Source organism: Homo sapiens, chromosome 2 (genome assembly GCF_000001405.40).
Source record: "Homo sapiens chromosome 2, GRCh38.p14 Primary Assembly".
In the NCBI taxonomy this organism is placed as follows: domain Eukaryota; kingdom Metazoa; phylum Chordata; class Mammalia; order Primates; family Hominidae; genus Homo; species Homo sapiens.
Window position 1 is genome coordinate 113,655,535 of NC_000002.12, and position 22,133 is coordinate 113,677,667.

Consider the following 22,133-nt stretch of genomic DNA (forward strand, 5'->3'; position numbering starts at 1 on the left):
CTTAGATCACACACCAAAAGCATGATCCATGATTTCAAGATACATGATAACCACACAAAAATCAACTGTATTTCTGTATACTAGGAATCAACAATTGAGTATCAGAATATGAAATACTTATAAATAATTCTGATAAATAAATAATTCTGACAAAATATGTGAAAAACCTGCACACTCAAAACTATAAAACATTGCTGAGAGAACTGAGGAAGTCCTAAATAAATGAATAGATATACCAAATAATATGTAACAATAAAGAATAAAGTGATTAGTTGTACTCCCTCAAAGTTTAAAACTGCTGAGCTCCAAAAGACACCATTTAGAGAATTAAAAAGCAAGCTCTGACTTGGAGAAGACATTTACAATGCATACAGCTGACAAAGAACTTACACTCAGCATGTAAAAAGAACTCTCAAAACTCTATAAAAAGATGACAACAGAAGTTTTTAAATAGGCAAGAGATTTGAACAGACACTTCCCCAAAGAAGATATATGGATGACAATGAGCACAGGAAATATGCTTAACATCACCAGTCATTAAGCAAATGCAAATTAAAACCACAGTGAAATATTATCACACACCTATCAGAATGACTAAAATTAAAAAGACTGACCAGGGGGGTGGAGCCAAGATGGCCCAATAGGAACAGCTCCGGTCTACAGCTCCCAGCGTGAGCGACGCAGAAGACGGGTAATTTCTGCATTTCCATCTGACGGTTCATCTCACTAGGGAGTGCCAGACAGTGGGCGCAGGACAGTGGGTGCAGCGCACCGTGCACGAGCTGAAGCAGGGCGAGGCATTGCCTCACTCGGGAAGTGCAAGGGGTCAGGGAGTTCCCTTTCTGAGTCAAAGAAAGGGGTGACGGACGCACCTGGAAAATCGGGTCACTCCCACCCAAATACTGTGCTTTTCCTGCGGGCTTAAAAAACGGCGCACCACGAGATTATATCCCGCACCTGGCTCGGAGGGTCCTACGCCCACGGAGTCTCGCTGATTGCTAGCACAGCTGTCTGAGATCAAACTGCAAGGCGGCAGCGAGGCTGGGGGAGGGGCACCCGCCATTGCCCAGGCTTGCTTAGGTAAACAAAGCAGCCGGGAAGCTCGAACTGGGTGGAGCCCACCACAGCTCAAGGAGGCCTGCCTGCCTCTGTAGGCTCCACCTCTGGGGGCAGGGCACAGACAAACAAAAAGACAGCAGTAACCTCTGCAGACTTAAATGTCCCTGTCTGACAGCTTTGAAGAGAGCAGTGGTTCTCCCAGCACGCAGCTGGAGATCTGAGAACCGGCAGACTGCCTCCTCAAGTGGGTCCCTGACCCCCGTGCAGCCTAACTGGGAGGCACCCCCCGCAGCAGGGGCAGACTGACACCTCACATGGCCGGGTACTCCAACAGACCTGCAGCTGAGGGTCCTGTCTGTTAGAAGGAAAACTAACAAAAAGAAAGGACATCCACACCAAAAACCCTTCTGTACATCACCATCATCAAAGACCAAAAGTAGATAAAACCACAAAGATGGGGACAAAACAGAACAGAAAAACTGGAAACTCTAAAAAGCAGAGCGCCTCTCCTCCTCCAAAGGAACACAGCTCCTCACCAGCAACGGAACAAACCTGGACGGAGAATGACTGACGAGCTGAGAGAAGAAGGCTTCAGATGATCAAATTACTCCAAGCTACAGGAGGAAATTCAAACCAATAGCAAAGAAGTTAAAAACTGTGAAAAAAAAATTAGACGAATGGATAACTAGAATAACCAATGCAGAGAAGTCCTTAAAGGAGCTGATGGAGCTGAAAGCCAAGGCTCGAGAACTACGTGAAGAATGCAGAAGCCTCAGGAGCCGATGCGATCAACTGGAAGAAAGGGTATCAGTGATGGAAGACGAAATGAATGAAATGAAGCAAGAAGGGAAGTTTAGATAAAAAAGAATAAAAAGAAACGAACAAAGCCTTCAAGAAATATGGGACTATGTGAAAAGACCAAATCTACATCTGATTGGTGTACCTGAAAGTGACGGGGAGAATGGAACCAAGTTGGAAAACACTCTGCAGGATATTATCCAGGAGAACTTCCCCAATCTAGCAAGGCAGGCCAACATTCAGATTCAGGAAATACAGAGAATGCCACAAAGATACTCCTGGAGAAGAGCAACTCCAAGACACATAATTGTCAGAATCACCAAAGTTGAAATGAAGGAAAAAATGTTAAGGGCAGCCAGAGGGAAAGGTTGGGTTCCCCACAAAGGGAAGCCCATCAGACTAACAGCGGATCTCTCGTCAGAAACTCTACAAGCCAGAAGAGAGTGGGGGCCAATATTCAACATTCTTAAAAGAATTTTCAGCTTTCCACAGCGCGGGGGAACCGGAGGCTGCAGGATGGTCAAGCTGACGGCGGAGCTGATCGAGCAGGCGGCGCAGTACACCAACGCAGTGCGCGACCGGGAGCTGGACCTCCGGGGGTATAAAATTCCCGTCATTGAAAATCTAGGTGCTACGTTAGACCAGTTTGATGCTATTGATTTTTCTGACAATGAGATCAGGAAACTGGATGGTTTTCCTTTGTTGAGAAGACTGAAAACATTGTTAGGGAACAACAACAGAATATGCCGTATAGGTGAGGGACTTGATCAGGCTCTGCCCTGTCTGACAGAACTCATTCTCACCAATAATAGGCTCGTGGAACTGGGTGATCTGGACCCTCTGGCATCTCTCAAATCGCTGACTTACCTAAGTATCCTAAGAAATCTGGTAACCAATAAGAAGCATTACAGATTGTATGTGATTTATAAAGTTCCGCAAGTCAGAGTACTGGATTTCCAGAAAGTGAAACTAAAAGAGCGTCAGGAAGCAGAGAAAATGTTCAAGGGCAAACGGGGTGCACAGCTTGCAAAGGATATTGCCAGGAGAAGCAAAACTTTTAATCCAGGTGCTGGTTTGCCAACTGACAAAAAGAAAGGTGGGCCATCGCCAGGGGATGTAGAAACAATCAAGAATGCTATAGCAAATGCTTCAACTCTGGCTGAAGTGGAGCGGCTGAAGGGGTTGCTGCAGTCTGGTCAGATCCCTGGCAGAGAACGCAAATCGGGGCCCACTGGTGATGGTGAAGAAGAGATGGAAGAAGACACAGTCACAAACGGGTCCTGAGCAGTGAGGCAGATGTATGATAATAGGCCCTCTTGGAACAAGTCTTGCTTTTCGAACATGGTATAATAGCCTTGTTTGTGTTAGCAAAGTGGAATCTATCAGCATTGTTGAAATGCTTAAGACTGCTGCTGATAATTTTGTAATATAAGTTTTGAAATATAAATGTCAATTTTCTACAAATTATAAAAATAAACTCCACTCACTGTGCTACCAAAAAGAGAAAAAGAAAAGAATTTTCAACCTAGAATTTCATATCCAGCCAAACTAAGCTTCATAAGTGAAGGAGAAATAAAATGCTTTACAGACAAGCAAATGCTGAGAGATTTTGTCACCACCAGGCCTGCCCTAAAAGAGCTCCTGAAGGAAGCATTAAACATGGAAAGGAACAACCGGTACCAGCCACTGCAAAAACATGCCAAAATGTAAAGACCATCAAGGCTAGGAAGAAACTGCAGCAACTAACGAGCAAAATAACCAGCTAACATCATAATGACAGGACCAAATACACACATAACAATATTAACTTTAAGTGTAAATGGGCTAAATGCTCCAATTAAAAGACACAGACTGGCAAATTGGATAAAGAGTCAAGACCCATCAGTGTGCTGTATTCAGGAAACCCATCTCACATGCAGAGACACACATAGGCTCAAAATAAAGGGATGGAGGAAGATCTACCAAGCAAATGGAAAATAAAAAAAGGCAGGGGTTGCAATCCTAGTCCCTGATAAAACAGACTTTAAACCAACAAAGATCAAAAGAGACAAAGAAGGCCCGTTACATAATGGTAAAGGGATCAATTCAACAAGAAGAGCTAACTATCCTAAATATACATGCACCCAATACAGGAGCACCCAGATTCATAAAGCAAGTCCTTAGTGACTACAAAGAGACTTAGACTCCCACACAATAATAATGGGAGACTTTAACACCCCACTGTCAACATTAGACAGATCAACGACACAGAAAGTTAACAAGGATACCCAGGAATTGAACTCAGCTCTGCACCAAGCGGACCTAATAGACATCTACAGAATTCGCCACCTCAAATCAGCAGAATATACATTTTTTTCAGCACCACACCACACCTATTCCAAAACTGACCACAGAGTTGAAAGTAAAGCACTCCTCAGCAAATGTAAAAGAACAGAAATTATAACAGACTGTCTCTCAGACCACAGTGCAATCAAACTAGAACTCAGGACTAAGAAACCCACTCAAAACTGCTCAACTACATGGAAACTGAACAACCTGCTCCTGAATGACTACTGGGTACATAACGAAATGAAGGCAGAAATAAAGATGTTCTTTGAAACCAACGAGAACAAAGACACAACATACCAGAATCTCTGGGACACATTCAAAGCAATGTGTAGAGGGAAATTTATAGCACTAAATGCCCACAAGAGAAAGCAGGAAAGATCCAAAATTGACACCCTAACATCACAATTAAAAGAACTAGAAAAGCAAGAGCAAACACATTCAAAAGCTAGCAGAAGGCAAGAAATAACTAAAATCAGAGCAGAACTGAAGGAAATAGAGACACAAAAAACCCTTCAAAAAAATAATGAATCCAGGAGCTGGTTTTTTGAAAAGATCAACAAAATTGATAGACCGCTAGCAAGACTAATAAAGAAGAAAAGAGAGAAGAATCAAATAGACCCAATAAAAAATGATAAAGGGGATATCACCACCGATCCCACAGAAATACAAACTACCATCAGAGAATACTACAAACACCTCTACACAAATAAACTAGAAAATCTAGAAGAAATGGATAAATTCCTCTACACATACACCCTCCCAAGACTAAACCAGGAAGAAGTTGAATCTCTGAATAGACCAATAACAGGCTCTGAAATTGTGGCAATAATCAATAGCTTACCAACCAAAAAAGTCCAGGACCAGATGGATTCACAGCCTAATTCTGCCAGAGGTACAAGGAGGAGCTGGTACCCTTCCTTCTGAAACTATTCCAATCAATAGAAAAAGAGAGAATCCTCCCTAACTCATTTTATGAGGCCAGCATCATCCTGATACCAAAGCCTGGCAGAGACACAACCAAAAAAGAGAATTTTAGACCAATATCCTTGATGAACATTGATGCAAAAATCCTCAATAAAATACTGGCAAACCAAATCCAGCAGCACATCAAAAAGCTTATCCACCATGATCAAGTGGGCTTCATCCCTGGGATGCAAGGCTGGTTCAACATACGCAAATCAGTAAATGTAATCCAGTATATAAACAGAACCAAAGACAAAAACCACATGATTATCTCAATAGATGCAGAAAAGGCCTTTGACAAAATTCAACAACCCTTCATGCTAAAAATTCTCAATAAATTAGGTATTGATGGGATGTATCTCAAAATAATAAGAGCTATCTATGACAAACCCACAGCCAATATCATACTGAATGGGCAAAAACTGGAAGCATTCCCTTTGAAAACGGGCGCAAGACAGGGATGCCCTCTCTCACCACTCCTAGTCAACATAGTGTTGGAAGTTCTGGCCAGGGCAATTAGCAGGAGAAGGAAATAAAGGGTATTCAATTAGGAAAAGAGGAAGTCAAATTGTCCCTGTTTGCAGATGACATGATTGTATATCTAGAAAACCCCATTGTTTTAGCCCAAAATCTCCTTAAGCTGATAAGCAACTTCAGCAAAGTCTCAGGACACAAAATCAATGTACAAAAATCACAAGCATTCTTATACACCAATAACAGACAAACAGAGAGCCAAATCATGAGTGAACTCCCATTCACAATTGCTTCAAAGAGAATAAAATACCTAGGAATCCAACTTACAAGGGATGTGAAGGACCTCTTCAAGGAGAACTACAAACCACTGCTCAATGAAATAAAAGAGGATACAAACAAATGGAAGAACATTCCATGCTTATGGGTAGGAAGAATCAATATCATGAAAATGGCCATACTGCCCAAGGTAATTTATAGATTCAATGCCATCCCCATCAAGCTACCAATTACTTTCTTCACAAGATTGGAAAAAACTACTTTAAAGTTCATATGGAACCAAAAAAGAGTCCGCATCACCAAGTCAATCCTAAGCCAAAAGAACAAAGCTGGAGACATCACCCTACCTGACTTCAAACTATACTACAAGGCTACAGTAACCAAAACAGCATGGTACTGGTACCAAAACAGAGATATAGATCAATGGAACAGAACAGAGCCCTCAGAAATAATGCCACATATCTACAACCATCTGATCTTTGACAAACCTGACAAAAACAAGAAATGGGAAAAGGATTCCCTATTTAATAAATGGTGCTGGGAAAACTGGCTAGCCATATGTAGAAAGCTGAAACTGGATCACTTCCTTACACCTTATACAAAAATTAATTCAAGATGGATTAAAAACTTAAATGTTAGACCTAAAACCATAAAAACCCTAGAAGAAAACCTAGGCAATACCATTCAGTACATAGGCATGGGCAAGGACTTCATGTCTAAAACACCAAAAGCAATGGCAACAAAAGCCAAAATTGACAAATGGGATCTAATTAAACTAAAGAGCTTCTGCACAGCCAAAGAAACTACCATCAGAGTGAACAGGCAACCTACAGAATGGGAGAAAATTTTTGCAATCTACCCATCTGACAAAGGACTAATATCCAGAATCTACAATGAACTCAAACAAATTTACAAGAAAAAACAACCCCATCAAAAAGTGGGCAAAGGATATGAACAGACACTTCTCAAAAGAAGACATTTATGCAGCCAAAAAACACATGAAAAAATGCTCATCATCACTGGTCATCAGAGAAATGCAAGTAAAAACCACAGTGAGACACCATCTCACACCAGTTAGAATGGCAATCATTAAAAAGTCAGGAAACAACAGGTGCTGGAGAGGTTGTGGAGAAATAGGAACACTTTTACACTGTTGGTGGGACTGTAAACTAGTTCAACCATTGTGGAAGTCAGTGTGGCGATTCCTCAGGGATGTAGAACTAGAACTACCATTTGACCCAGACACCCCATTACTGGGTATATACACAAAGGATTATAAATCATGCTGCTATAAAGACACATGCACACGTATGTTTATTGTGGCACTATTCACAATAGCAAAGACTTGGAACCAACCCAAATGTCCAACAACGATAGACTAGAGTAAGAAAATGTGGCACATATACACCATGGAATACTATGCAGCCATAAAAAATGAAGAGTTCACGTCCTTTGTAGGGACATGGATGAAACTGGAAACCATCATTCTCAGCGAACTATCGCAAGGACAAAAAACCAAACACCACATGTTCTCACTCATAGGTGGGAACTGAACAATGAGAACACTTGGACACAGGGTGGGGAACATCACACTCCGGAGACTGTTGTGGGATAGGGGGAGGGGGGAGGGATAGCATTAGGAGATGTACCTAATGCTAAAAGACGAGGTAATGGGTGCAGCACACCAACATGGCACTTGCATACATATGTAACAAACCTGCACATTGTGCACATGTACCCTAAAACTTAAAGTATAATAATAATAAAAGAAAATAAAAAAGACTGACCATACCAAATCTTGTCAAGGATGTGGAAGAGTCGGGACTCTCATATACTGCTGGTGGGACTGTGAAATGTTGCAATCACTTTGAAAAAACACTCAATGTTTTTCAAAAAGTGCTTTTTAACATATACCTACCAGCCATTCCTCACACACATGGTTAGCCAAGAGATATGAACATGTATGCCCATACAAATCCCTGTATTTGAGTGCGCATAGCTGCTTCATTTGTAATAGCCCAGACTGGAAACAATCCAATGTCCATCAACAGGTAGATAGGAAAACAAACTGTGGTATAGCCGTGTGATGAAATACTCAGCAATGGAAAGAAATAAATCACCGATACACAAAATGAATCTCAAAATGATTATGCTGAGTGAAAGAAGATTGATTTTAAAAAGGGCTTGCTATAGGGTTTCATTCATATAAAATTATGAGAAAAGCAAATTGATATAAGACAAAGCAGACCAGACATTGCCTGGGGCAGGAGAGGGGACAGGCTGGAGGGATTGCAAAGTGCCACAAGGAAACTTTAGGGAGTGACGGACGTGTTCACTCTCTTGGTTGTGGTGATTGCTTCGGGGATGCATTTGTATGTCAAAACTTACACCCACCGTATGATCCAGCCATTCCACCCCTAAGTATTTACCCAAGAGACATGAAAGCACATGCCCATGCAAAAACCGATGTGTAGTGTCCAGAATTAGATCACTGATGATTCTTTACCAAGAATAGAGTTTCTGGAGTAAACTCCATTAAGCTAACTTCTGTTTCTTGGTCAGTTTTCTACGTATTAAAGATGAACCGTTTTCATTTTTTCACATTTCCATTGTAAATTTGCTAAGATTGGATTCACCAGAACGTTTTCCCTTGCAAATATTGTAAGATTTCCTATATTGATGAGAGGCACAGCGAGGACCTCTGCCTCTGTGAGTGTCAATATTGTGCATGATCCCTGCCGCGCCCACTGTTCTGGCATCAGAGTCTTGCCCTGTACAGTTTAGCCACTGTCAAACCATTTTCTTTTATTGTTCCTATCAGTAAACTTCATTATGAATTCAGTTTTTACAAATACTTTTCATTTGCTTAGCTGTCCCATGAGAAAACAGTGAGCACATCCCTCAGATATCTAAGTGTGCACACCCCTCGGATGTCTAGGTGGGCACACCCGTCGGATGTCTAGGTGGGCACACCCGTCGGATGTCTAGGTGGGCACACCCCTCGGATGTCTAGGTGGGCACACCCCTTAGATGTCTAGGTCCCTGGAGTTTTGGTTTGTCACACAGCTGGTCATTCTTCCATTTCTCCTGTCACTATGAGCAGGAGACACCTGCTTCACGATCTGAAAGTTTAACCTTTTCAGGGTTAAACTATCCATAGGAACATGAAGGCAGATCAAAGAGCGTCAATTTTAAAAATGAAAATTGGAACATCTATTACATTGGTAAAGATAGACACATTTGATAAGAACAGTGTCGGCTTAGATGTAGGGAAATGGGCACTCTCATGCATGGAAGGCTAAACATTCCTTCCTAGGAAAGAACTGTGCCACTTTGTCTTATAAGTATCCCTATTGTGGAAGATCAATTTAGAGACATAAGATGGGCCTGTACACACTAGCATACAAATATCTCTATATTTGCTAAATGGAAAAGCAAGTCATAGAGTAGTGTGAATGGTGAAAGATCAGGAGATTATGTGGTATGTCACCATATTAATGTGCATGTGAAGTTTCCAGGAATCACGGCTTGAATTCTCCACCCAGTCTATGGCCTCTCACAGAGTGTTCCTTGAGAGTAGGCCCTGTCTCTCCAAGGAGGCCCAGATGTCAGCTATAGATGATAGGCCCAGGGTAAGATTTTCTCCATCACTGGGGAGGGAAGAAACTAAGGACAAGGAGCATTTATGGGGAGAGAGAACCAAGAAAATCAACTCTGGATCACAGAAAGCTCAGAAGAGAAGCAGTGAAGTCTCTGGGGTAGAAAAAAGCTGCTGCTGCTGTAGCTCCACCCCCACTTGTCCAAAACCCCTTTGTGACCGCAGCACACCTTGCCCCATACTTCTACGTGCTGGCCCACCTGGCTCTGTGTCTGGCTCAGGGTCACTGAGGGTGAATCCCAAGCTGCCGCTGTTACGGCTTCTGCACGGGGCCTTGCATTTTGTATGCTTAGTATTTAGAGAATGTCAAGTGTCTGGCACCAGGGTACAAAGGGAGATTAAGAAACTGGCTTTAGGAGAGAGAGCCTAAAAGTCAATAAAATGAATTACCAACTCCAACTTCAGCAGCACCAGCTCTTAGCCAAGGCAGATAGAATGTTTTAAGTGTGATCAACTGTTACTATCCTACAGAGCTATGGGCCATTCGACTCAATATGCAAGCCCGCCTATGTGGCCAAAGCATTTCAGGGGTCATAAGAGGAAAATGGCAGGCACCAAAGTGCCCCTGCAGATAAGCATAAGATTATGCACCAGCAGTCACCACCAGCTGGCCCATGAATGACAGCCCACGTTCATGGGCATTTCTGGTGTGTCAAGACCTGCTTTAATGCTCCGCATCTGTCCTTATTTCATGGTCACACAGCCCTCTGGTGGCACATCTTCCCCAGAGCACAGAGCTTATGCGGGGTAGAGCAGGGTATTTGCTTGAACCCAGGTAGACCAATAAATTTTGAAGATGAAGACTCACAGCTGCTCCATCAGTCCAGGTTCCAGCTCCAGCAGGAAAATGACTGGTCCTTTGAGCTTTCTCAGCCAGGGTTCCTCCCAACTGCCATGGCACCTTCTCTCTGCCACCTGTCTTGGTAACCGGGGCATAGGACCACCTTGCACTTGACTCACACAAGCAGCTAGGTGGACACACATATGAGTGAAAGCTTGTTGCAATGACTGCTCAGCCAAATGCCAAGGTTTTCTCTCTTTCTGAGACCTGCCATCTTCAGTCTCACAAGGGGTTAAACCAGCAGTCAAGTTTTGCATTTTTACTCCCTGATCAGAGTGGGCGGTTGGCCTGAACCTATCAGGATTTCCATTTTTTTTTTTTGAGATGGAGTCTCACTCTGTCGCCCAGGCTGGAGTGCAGTGGCGTGATCTCGCCTTACTGCAACCTCTGCCTCCCGGGTTCAAGCGATTCTCCTGCCTCAGCCTCCCGAGTAGCTGGGATTACAGGCACCGCCACCTCACCTGGCTAATTTTTCTGTGTTTTTAGTAGAGATGGAGTTTCACCATATTGGTCAGGCTGGAGGATTTCTTCCCCAGGATTTTGCAAATAGATGTGAACAGTTCCAGGTGACAGCTGCCCCCAGCGTGGGGCAGTGTGGGGCAGGTACTCTATGCACACCAGGGTCATGCCTTGCCTGGGTTCCTCACCATTCTTGGTGTCTGCTTCTGGCCTTTCCTATTGGTTCTGTGTGACATCTTTGCATCCTTATCACTTAAATGGCTCTAACTGGTTTCTGTTCCTTGCAATGGAAGGTCTTAAAATAAATAACCCCAAATCCTAAGGAAGCCATTCAAAGCTCACTCAGGGGCATCCAAAAAGTATTCCCCATTGCAATTCCTAGAAAGCGCTAGCAAAGAATACATTTTTTAATTTGCTCAAATCCAGGAACTAATAAGATTTAACTACAGGCAAGTAATGAACAGGCTTGTTGGTGTCAACTGGACACTAACAAGCCACAAGCAAAATTGTGTTTGGTAGTAGACACTTGTTTTGGTGGCTTAGTGGCCTCCTTAGCCTTTGTGTTCTGGGGAGTTCAACATTCATGCAGAATCTTCTCTGTGGGTGTCAACACCACCAGCCTCCTGAGAGAAGACTTGGACCCACACCCCCTCTTTCACAGTCAGCTCACTCACAGCTGCTGCTTTGGGGGTCCACCTCCTTTGACTTGCACATGCAGAGATGGCTCTTTTATTTTCACCATTTGTCGTTTTTCCCTAAGTGTGAAATAAAGACCATCCCTGGTCTACAGCCCCAGGTCACCTTATTCCAGCATTAAAAATCAAGATTTTAAAAAACACGATTGGCACTAATGTACAAGCAATTCTGCCTTATTGTAGGGTGAAGGAGAGAGGGTAGATTTTATAGGGGAAATTTGGGTTGGGAGGGGGGATAGGAAGAAGTCCAGAAAGCATCTCTTGATGTATATGCATGTATACATACGGATATGTGTGTGTGTATATCTATATATATATGTTTATTTATTTATTTCATCTTTCCTTTTTCTCAGGAGTGAAGGGCTCACTGGGTCTGTTGAGAACCAGGTCAGATCAGGAGGTCGAGGTCAGTTCTGGGAGCTCTGTGGTCTCCATGTCATAATGGTTCTTTCCGTCGGAATAGGTCTTCCCCTTCAAGACCTCTATGAGCTGCTGTAGGCGCTTGGCAAAAGAAAGTCCTTGGGGAAGTTTTGTGGTAGATGAGGGTGTAGGTGGGGGTGGGGGTGGGGGTGGGGGTAAAGGTGAGGGTGGGGGTGGGGGTGGGGGCGGGGGTGAAGGTGGGGGTCGGGGCTGGGCTGCCGGTGGTCGGGGTGGAAGTGGTCGAGGGGGCGGTTGGAAATACCAAGGAAGGTGAGCAGAGAGAGGGTGGGAGAAGGGGGGTCGAATCGGGGGCGGTCGAGTGGTGGGAGGTGGAGGGGTGGCCGATTGAATCATACGCAAAGCGTTAGAACCAATCTTGGAGGCGATCCAGTTCAGATAGGGCCAGGTGGCCGTGTAGATTCCGGGGCGCTTGGCACGGGCACAGCCTACCCCCCAGCTTGTGATTCCCACGACCACACAGGCGCTTTCCTTGCTGTCTTTGCACATGAGAGGCCCGCCGCTGTCCCCCTGTCCAGAAGGACACAGAGGTCACTATCTGCCTGAGCCACTCTTCCCCTGCCCAGAGGGGTCAGAAGGCTCTGGGAGGACAATTTCCACAGTCACATGGTCTCCTGCTGCTGTAAACGCAAGTGGTTGTAGTAAAGTTTGAGGGGGTGTCAGGGGCTTCATGTGGGATGTGAGGAGGGTGTGAATTGTCAGGGCTTTCCTTGCAGTGAGATGAGCAAACCCACGTGTCCACAGGGGCACATGGCAGGGGCAGCCGGTGGCTGTCACCGCTCATCCCCACTGTGAGAGTAGGTGCTAGAAAAGGGACCGGGGAAGCAGTCACTAGAGAAGGGCCCTGGGCAGAGCAGTGGAGATAGTGGAGCTTGGGGATCCAAAAGGAGGATGTTCTCAGGGGCCGGGAGAGTCCTGGAGGGACCCAGGGGCCCAGAAGCCAGAAGGAAGGTTACCTGGCAGGTGTCGATCTTGCCTACAGGATACCCCGCGCACACATTGGTTGGCTGAACGTGCTCATTGTACCACTGGGTCGAGTTACACAAGTCCAGGTCGATGAGATCCACACGTGCCTCCATCAGCATAGATGATGGCCTGGGGGCTACAGTCAGACCACTCGGTGGTCAGTGATCACGGGAGACACGGACAAAAGCCCTGCCTCCTTGCCCCACCGAACCCCATCCTCTGTGATGCTCCAGTTAAACCTCAGACCCATCCAGTCGATGCCCCGACCCCTCCTTATACACCAGAAAGAGCAGACGAGAGGTGGTGGGAGGAGGTGGGGAAACGTTACCCAAATCAAGGCCAGAGGAGAGAGGAAGAGAGGAAGGAAGGGTGGAGGCCCGTGGACAGGTGGATGGAGGGTGGGTGTGCGTATTAACGATGGATTATGGAGGTTAGTTGCAGTATTGCCAATAACACCTGGTGCGCACCAAGCACTCCCTGAGTCACATGGTCCCGTTATTCCCGTTTTGGATCAGAAGGCTGGAGCACCGCCCACCCAGGTCACAGTAGAGAGGTGGTGGGGCTGCAGCCTGGCCTCAGGACTGCTCCTCTCCAGACTCCAGTCTGAGACACACTGTCCGCTCCCACAGTCTGGCTGTAAGCCACTCCCCCTGCTTCTTGTCCCTCTTCAGACCTCCTCGGCTCAGCTGCGGACGGGATCTGCTGGAGCTGGGTCAGTAAGTCCCTCCCCATATGCTGCACATCTGTTCCGAGGAGACCGCAGGGGAAGCTCGGGCAGCGCCTCCACACACGGGCAGACCTGGCAGGGGCAGGGGCGGTTGAAACAACCCCGATGCGGACTTCCTCGAAAGCCCCAGACTAGGCCGGGCGCGGGGGCTCACGCCTGTCATCCCAGCACTTTGGGAGGCCGAGGCGGGCGGATCACGAGGTCAGGAGATCGAGACCATCCCGGCTAAAACGGTGAAACCCCGTCTCTACTAAAAATACAAAAAATTAGCCGGGCGTAGTGACAGACGCCTGTAGTCCCAGCTGCTGGGGAGGCTGAGGCAGGAGAACGGCGTGAACCCGGGAGGCGGAGGCTGCAGTGAGCCGAGATCGAGCCACCGCACTCCAGCCTGGGCGACAGAGCCAGACTCCGTCTCAAACAAAAAAAGAAAGACAGCGCTGGACTCTCTACCGTGACCTTTGGGTTAGAAAGACCCGATGCTACGGCGCATGCGCCAGCGTTGCTCCTTTTCAAGGGTCCCACAGACAGAAGGGTCCCCAACAGCAGCAGCCACTCTGGCCCCCACCGCAGCAGCACCTACAACCCTGGGGGTGGATCTGGAGGTCACCTGCAGAGCAGATGGGAGCAGACTGAGGTAGGGGCAGACCCAGAACATAGCTGCACAGGCCAAGACGGGAGACAGGGGACACACGAGTGACGTGCATAGGGCTCGGCACACAGCAGGCGTCTGGTAAGCGGCTGCTGAAGGAGTGCTCGCTGGCTTTACGTTTTTTAATCCCCTTAGCCCCTACCTTTTCTTACCATCCAAGCAGCAGTGAGAGTTTTGTACATGCACTGCCCTTGCGGTAGGGGTGACATTGAAACAACAATGAAAACAATCCTGGCTTATTAGCCATTAAGACGATTTTTTTTTTTTTTGAGACAGAGTCTCGCTCTGTCGCCCAGGCTGGAGTGCAGTGGTGCGATCTCGGCTCACTGCAAGCTCCATCTTCCGGGTTCACGCCATTCTCCTGCCTCAGCCTCCCGAGTAGCTGAGACTACAGGCGCCCGCCACCATGCCCGGCTAATTTTCTGTATTTTTAGTAGAAATGAGGTTTCACCGTGTTAGCCAGGATGGTCTCGATCTCACGACCTTGTGATCCACCCTCCTTGGCCTCCCAAAGTGCTGGGATTACAGGTGTGAGCCACCGCGCCCGGCCAAGATGACTTTTTAAGTCTAGGGCAGAGCCCATAGTCTTGAAAGCCATGGGTTTTATTGTGAAGAGCCAGGTGTCCTCAGACAGAAAAGGGTTTTCTAAATCCCAGCACCTTGGCGGGTTTTTTTTTGAGATGAAGTTGCGCTCTTGTTACCCAGTCTGGAATGCAGTGGCGCGATCTTGGCTCACTGCAACCTTCACCTCCCGGGTTCAAGTGATTCTCCTGCCTCAGCCTCCCGAGTACCTGGGACGACAGGCATCCACCACCACACCCTGCTAATGTTTTATATTTTTAGTAGAGATTGGGTTTCACCATGTTGGCCAGGCTGGTCTCAAACTCCTGACCTCAGGTGATCCACCTGCCTCGGCCTCCCAAAGTGCTGGGTAAATTACAGGAATGAGCAACTGCACCCAGCCGACACCTGGGCTTTAAATAACAAATGCTTAAAAGTCTGCAGGGACTCAAAACCCAATGGGAAAGAAGCAATACCCAAGCAATACCCTTCCAGCCCCAAAGCAGATGAGTTGAAGGAGGTGGTAAGACATGGAAGGTTTGAAGGGATCACAGGAGTTGGAGCCTGGGGGTTTCTTTAAGACTTGGGCTTATGGGTACAGGATGTGTTTGTAAAAATGAAAAACAAAAAACCCGAAACAGAAACAGAGTGATCCTATTAGGTTTATGGGAATTCCAGAACAAAAAAGGTTTTGCATGGCAACCAAGATGTAGCTAGGAGACTACAATCCGTCTGAGTAATAGAATAGGACAGCAACGGTTGGCAGTGGGGACCCTAAGATCAGCCTCCCAGGAACATAGGGACCCCCAAGAGCTGTGGACATCATCAGACAGGGGACAAAGCATGGCAGGCTAGGGGGCTGGACAGAGGCCAGGGCAGAGCCATGGGTATCGGCAGCTGGAATAGAGGCTGTCACTCCAGGCCAGAAGGGGATGGCCACGTGTCAAGTGAGGCCAGTGAGAACAAGGACAGCCGGGATGAGACTCTCTTCCCTGAGGGACAGGAGAAGTGACAAACCTGTCAGAAACTTAGACCACGCCCTCAGAGAAGGAAATAAGAGTTAAAGGAAGAATCCTCAAATTATTGACTTTTTGTTGTTGTTACCCAAAAAAGGCTGCGTTTTAGACTCATATGACTGAATTGCCTTGAATTAAGAAGCCTCATTATCCATTATCAAGAAAAAAAGAGATTGAGATGCACCACTTTTGGAAAGCTGAAAGTATAGGTCACATGCAGAGATCAAGTCCTACTGGGTCTTGTCCTGCTGGCAAAACCTTGCTGCTCACTGCTGCCTTTTAATGGGGTCACCTGTTGCTTCTGGGATAAATGGTATCTCTAGTGTGCCTAAGTATGTAGGGAGAGGTGTCTGGGCCTCTCTGACCATGGAGTCAGTAATGACAATTTGTTCTAGGTCACACCTGGGGCCCTCCGTGAGCCTGGTCTGGTACGGAAGAAATTCCCCCTACTGTTCTAGAACTCATCTGGTGTCAAGTGTGTCAGGTAGTGTTGGATGGGCACGAGATCTTCTGGGAGCCAGGGGAGAGAGAGACAGCTTGGTTATGGACAGAGCTCTAGAGCCACAGCTACACCCGTCTTGAATGGAGAGGTACCTGCCGGACACTCCAGGAAGCCTGAAATACAGGGATGCCTATGACCCACAGAAAGCCACACCAACCACGTGTCCCCTTCCCAGTCTACAGAGCAAATGTCAAGTAACTCGGATGGAGAGGGTAGATCAGGTTCTCACTCTCTCCCATCAAAATTTAGCTGCCTTATGTCCCAACTCCCTACGGTATTCCTACCTAAAAAAAGGAGGGGCAGCTAAGGCATTAATTGTTAGTAATGGCTTAATGGAAAGTCTTTAGCAAATCCATTTGCATTTTAATAGAGGGCTTTTAGGCCTTGGAAGAGAAGTTAGTAATGGGGGATTTGGGGCTTTTAGAGAAATAAATTAGGGCACCCCTGACATTTACTGCAGGGTCCTTTTCCTTGCTGGTTCCTTAAAGCTACGCTGCCAAACACTTCCAGAAGTCTATTGTCGCCTGTGGCTTGACAGTCCTGGTAGAGGTTCCCTATTTTGACTGTGGCAGGCCCCTCCCAAGAGCAACTGAGCTCAGCACAGTTCTTTTCCCCTCCTTCCATCATCCCTCCAGTGACGGGGCACTGAGACTGATGCAAAGGAGAAAGGCAAGGAGAGAAATGATTTGCATCTTAGACTGGTGCAAATTCACACTTTGTGGAAAATTAACAGGTTCCTCACAAGACACCCTCCCCAGCCACCGTGAAACCAGATGCTCCTTAGCCTCCCCAGGGTGAGTCGAATGCGATCACATGAATATTGATATCCGAAACTCCCTAGGCCTAAGCATCCATTTGCCCAGTCAAGAATTTCAATTCTCACAGTTTTTCTCCTCTGCTCCACATATTCCTGGGAATCACCAGGATGTGTCTTACATGTGCCAACAGTGAGCCTGGGCTGCCTCTCACCCTGAGTCTGTGTTGCTGTGGAGGCACCACTCTGCAGCCTTCTTCCTCTCTGCAAGCAGGCTGCTACCCACACTGGCTTGGACCTCTGCCCCAGTCAAGGGGGGCAGAGCTATGACACTAGTCTCAGAGTTTCAACAATGCCTGTTGGAAAGGAAAACCCACCTATTTATTGTATCCTTTCTAACTCACTTAGGAAGGATGCACAACATCTTAAATATCACTGGAGATAAGAAGTCAACTCTGACATGAGTCTGCACAAATAAACCTTATGGAAATAACCCTTATTGTCCATTCATTTCTCCCATATATTTCCTAGGTTTTTCCCCCTCAATTTGCCACCCCTAGAAGCCCAAATGCCTTTTCTTTGTCTAGTCACTTCCCCACAATTTATTGCCCTTTGTTATGATGGTACCGTAAGCCCCCAAATCTCGCCACTTCCTTGAGGTTTTCACTTTTTTTTCTATGAAGGCCCCCTTCCTGTGCCACATACAAATATAAATGTCAAATAAAATTTAAATGATTTTCCATTATTAATCTGTCTTTTGTCAGCTTAATTCATAGGTCTCAGTCACAACATTAAGAGGGCAGAGAAAAAGTTGTGTCCTCCCTCACTATTATCAAGCTCTACTAAAGAATATGGCCTACCCTGCAGGATTCCTTCTTTCTAGGACCCACTGACTCTCTTTTAATCTGATCTTCCATTCAGACTTCCCTCCCAGGCATTGTGGAGTTTCATCTGCAAGCTACTCTCTACACAGTATTTCTGAAAAGGATGGCTTCATTCTTACAAAGTGATGTCAGACTTCTAGAGTGAATTTATTTTGGAGGTGTTCGTCAAGACCAAATGCTGCCAGGGAGCCCCACTAGAGCTCAGACTCATGTCCTCACGCAGGCATTGGAATTGGATTTGTTGTCAATGGCGTTTTACAAAACTCTGATTTTTTTTTGTTTTTGTTTTTGTTTTTTTGAGACAGAGTCTTGCTCTGTCACCCAGACTGGAGTGCAGTGGTGCGATCTTGGCTCACTGTAACCTCCAACTCCTGGGTTCAAGCGATTTTCCTGCCTCAGCTGGGACTACAGCACACGCCACCATGCCTGGCTAATTTTTTGTATTTTTAGTAGAGACGGGGTTTCACCGTGTTAGCAAGGATGGTCTCGATCTCCTGACCTCGTGATCCACCCGGCTTGGCCTCCCAAAGTGCTGGGATTACAGGTGTGAGCCACCGCGCCTGGCCCGCAAAGCTCTTTCTTAATAAAAGCTGAGACTGGTCTCAGAGAATACAACAGCAAGAAGAGAAAAATTCATCCCTGGTTCAAGGACCACACAGGCAGGGATCAAGGTGGAAAGAGATGGTTGTTGGAGAGAATGTCATAGAGACCCATGTTTAACTCATTCATGTCCTCAAGTTGAACAGTGCTTTGTTGTTGGGGGCCGAATGCCTCAGGTCTCCAGGATGTGCAGTTCAGATGCCCAACACTTTCCAGACGGTAGATTAAAAGTCTCTGCTTAAATATTGAGGCTGGTGGTTCTGTTACTGAGAGCTGTACACTTAAGAGCCTCCAACACATGATTGTGGGTGTCCCACAATAAAACACTTGCTGCAATATTCAACCCCAGACTTGGCTTGAAGAGGAAGATCCCTTCTGATGGTGAGGAGGAGGATGCCGAACCATCCAAGGTCAAGGTGGAGACCCTGCATAAGCTGTGCTAGTCAATACAGGCAGGACTCCTTGCACCTCAGATAATTATCTGATTGGGACTCCATAGGCCATAAGTTTAAAGAAGGTACTGCTCAAACCCAAGTGGATCATTTCTTGGGCAAAACTTAAAGACCCAATGAAGTGAAAACACCTATCATTTTGCTCTGGTTATGGGAAAGAGGATATCTCCTGTTAGCATACGGCAATGGTATACCTAGCAATTCAGATACTAGTTTGTCTGGGAGCAGTCAGGAAACATGAACAGGAAGCAGAAGAGTCACCCCATTCCCTTGAATAAATGGGCTCCGATGACCCTGGCGGATGGAGTTCTAAATGAAAAAAACGGAACAATCAGACTGGGTGCCAGATGTCAGCAGTGAGACAGATGGTGAGGCCAGGTAAAGTCAAATGCAGCACCCAACAACCTCTCTCATTCCTAATAAAAAGATAGTAAGGGCTCCTTTGACTCTCAGCTTATAAAGATTAGCCTACATCTGGCAGGCTCTCCAGAGGTGAGATTCTGGGACTCTGAGTCTGGAAAAAACATTACTGGAAACTAGGATCAGGGAAGAAGCTGTCCCCTCTCGTCATCCTCAGCCTTCATTCATGCTGCCACTGTAGAGCAGTCATATAGACTCTGAGCATGACATCCTCAGTGTTAGACAGAGCTTGTCTGGGGTCACAGCATGGTGAGAAAATGAGCCAGAACTGGATAGAGAGGCGCTGGAGAGGACAGAGGGAGAGATGTTGGTTAACACTCAGTAAGGAGGCTGCCCAATCCATACTTGAGCATGCGAAGCCTGGCATCACCTCATCTATAGAAATATGACCCTGGGGACAGAGTTCTGAGACACAGCAGAGCAAAAAACCATGTCGTGTTTACCTCCAAGAAGAAAAGTTTAAGTGAAGTTGGTAGAGACTTTTGCAGGTACTGTGAAGAATACACTAGGGAGAAAGAGAAATAAACATTCTCTGCACTCTCTTGGAGGCTTTATTCTTCCAGATGCTTAGATTGCAAGTAATAATAACCCAGACTACATTAACAGGAAAAAGAATAATGTATTAGCTCATAGAACTGAAAGCACAGGAATAAGTGCCTGTTTCAGGCAAAATTAGATCCAAGGCCTCCAACAATGTTTTCTGGAAATTGTTGCTCTGATTCTGCTTTCCTCTTGATGTGATTTGGATGTGTGTCACTGCCCAAATCTCATTTTGAATTATAATCTCCAATGTTAGCAGTAGGGCCTGGTGGGAAGTGATTTAAATCATGGGGGCAAATTTCTCATGAATTGTTCGGCACAGTCCCCTTGGTGCTGTCCTCAAAATAGTGAGCAAGTTCTCGAGAGATCTGGCCATTTAAAAGTGTATGAAACCGAGACAGCCAAGTGTAAAGGGGTCCCCAGAGAAACTCCAAATGGCCTGCGCACTGGGAGGGGTGCACACTGGGGTGGAGCCTCGGGAAGTTGGTGCTGTTTGCAGCCGGAAGGAGCCTGGCCCCTCCTCTTCCTGGGATTCAGACTGAACGTGGGATTCAGTCTGCGAGGCGGGAAGCACACTAGCAGGGTTCTGGCTTTGTAGAAGGTCCCTGTTAGGGTTTTTTTCCCTTTTGCCCAATAATTTCCATTTATTCTCACCCTTCAAAGTGTCTGCAAGCCTGATCTCTCATGGCCATGTGACAAGAACCCAGCTCTTAGCTGAACTAAGGGAAAAGTCCTACAACAAAACCTCCCTCCCCACTCTCTATCTCTCTTCCTCCTGCTCCAACTATGAGAGAAGCCTGCTCTCCTTTCACCTTCCCCCATGATTGGAAGCCTCCTGAGATCTCCCCAGAAGCTGATGCTGGTGCTGTGCTTAATGTGCAGCCTGAAGAACCATGAGCCAATTAAACCTCTTTTCTTATACATTATCCAGTCTTAGGTATTTATTTATAGCAATGTGAGAATGAACTAATATACTTCTCTATTAAGCTTCATTTTCAGGCAGGCTCCCTCACCCCTTCTGGAGAACATCAGCTACTCTAGGCTTACAGTCTACAGTTTAACAATTCCAGGGAAAAAAACAAGACCCTTTTTCAATATTTCCAGCAAAAGTCCAGGCATTGATACCAATTGGTACAGCTTGGTCCTGTGCCCATCACTGGTTGGGCCAATTACTGTGCCTAGAAGGACATGTGGTCTGATACATTAAGCTCACATCATGACCTCGCCTCTGACACCTGTAGGAGGGATGAGAGCTCCTCTTTATAGGACTGAATTGAGAGTGGGAGGGCTTAGCTCTCCAGAAGAAAACAGGTGCGCTGTTACTCAAAGAAGGAGTGTTGGGAAGGTGAAACAAGTGTTCACTCACCCAGTGGCCTAGGAAGCCACTTCTGCCATAAAATTGCAATACGGGTAAATGCTGGCGCTCTGAACACAGGCAGGGGTGGGCTTGAGTCCTTATGACTTATTAGTATGAGGTCAGTGAATGATTTCACTCCTCTAGGCCTCAGGTTTCTCACTGTAAAGTGAGAATACTGCCTTCTTTGTGGGTATACTGGGAGAGTGAAATGAAACAATATTAAATATTCATTCAAAGCTAAAACTAATAGTACCTTTTCCCAACCTCCCCTAGCAGCTTCAGCTTAGATTAAACTGAAAGTAGATTTTGTCTGCTTTCTTCATAACTATTTCCCTATTCTTTATAGAAAGTAGGCACCCTTGTATACAGTTGCCATAGTGTCAACATTTGTTGAATAAATGAATGAATGATGACAAAATTAATAAATTTCTGGAGAATTCCTACTTTTCAAATATCAGCTCCCAAGCCCTAGCAAACAGAATGAATTATCCCCTCCTGTGTGTCTGCTGGTATTTTTAATTAACTCCTCTTCCAGCTCTTATCAGCCAGAATGTGAACCAGGACTGTGTGTGACTCAACTCAAGCTCCTACTGCCTAGCACCCAGCCTAGTTTATGTTGCTGAATAAAAAAGATCAGCTAGTCCAAACGCCTCACTTTGCAGATGTTCTAATAGAGCCCCAGAGAGGTTAATTTGCCAAAAGCCCCACAGCTTACC

General features: G+C 46.0%; 2 pseudogenes, besides 1 other annotated feature; one reads left to right on the forward strand and one right to left on the reverse strand.

The window, feature by feature from the left end:
- Positions 340 to 897: an enhancer, noted in NCBI's record as "H3K27ac-H3K4me1 hESC enhancer chr2:114413451-114414008 (GRCh37/hg19 assembly coordinates)". NCBI's record gives its function as "activates a minimal SCP1, AML or CMV promoter by ChIP-STARR-seq in naive H9 embryonic stem cells {active_cell/tissue: H9 hESC(naive)}" and the evidence as "EXISTENCE:reporter gene assay evidence [ECO:0000049][PMID:30033119]".
- SNRPA1P1 (SNRPA1 pseudogene 1) lies at positions 2,339 to 3,355 on the forward strand (annotated as a pseudogene).
- Positions 11,813 to 13,093, reverse strand: ACRP1 (ACR pseudogene 1; annotated as a pseudogene).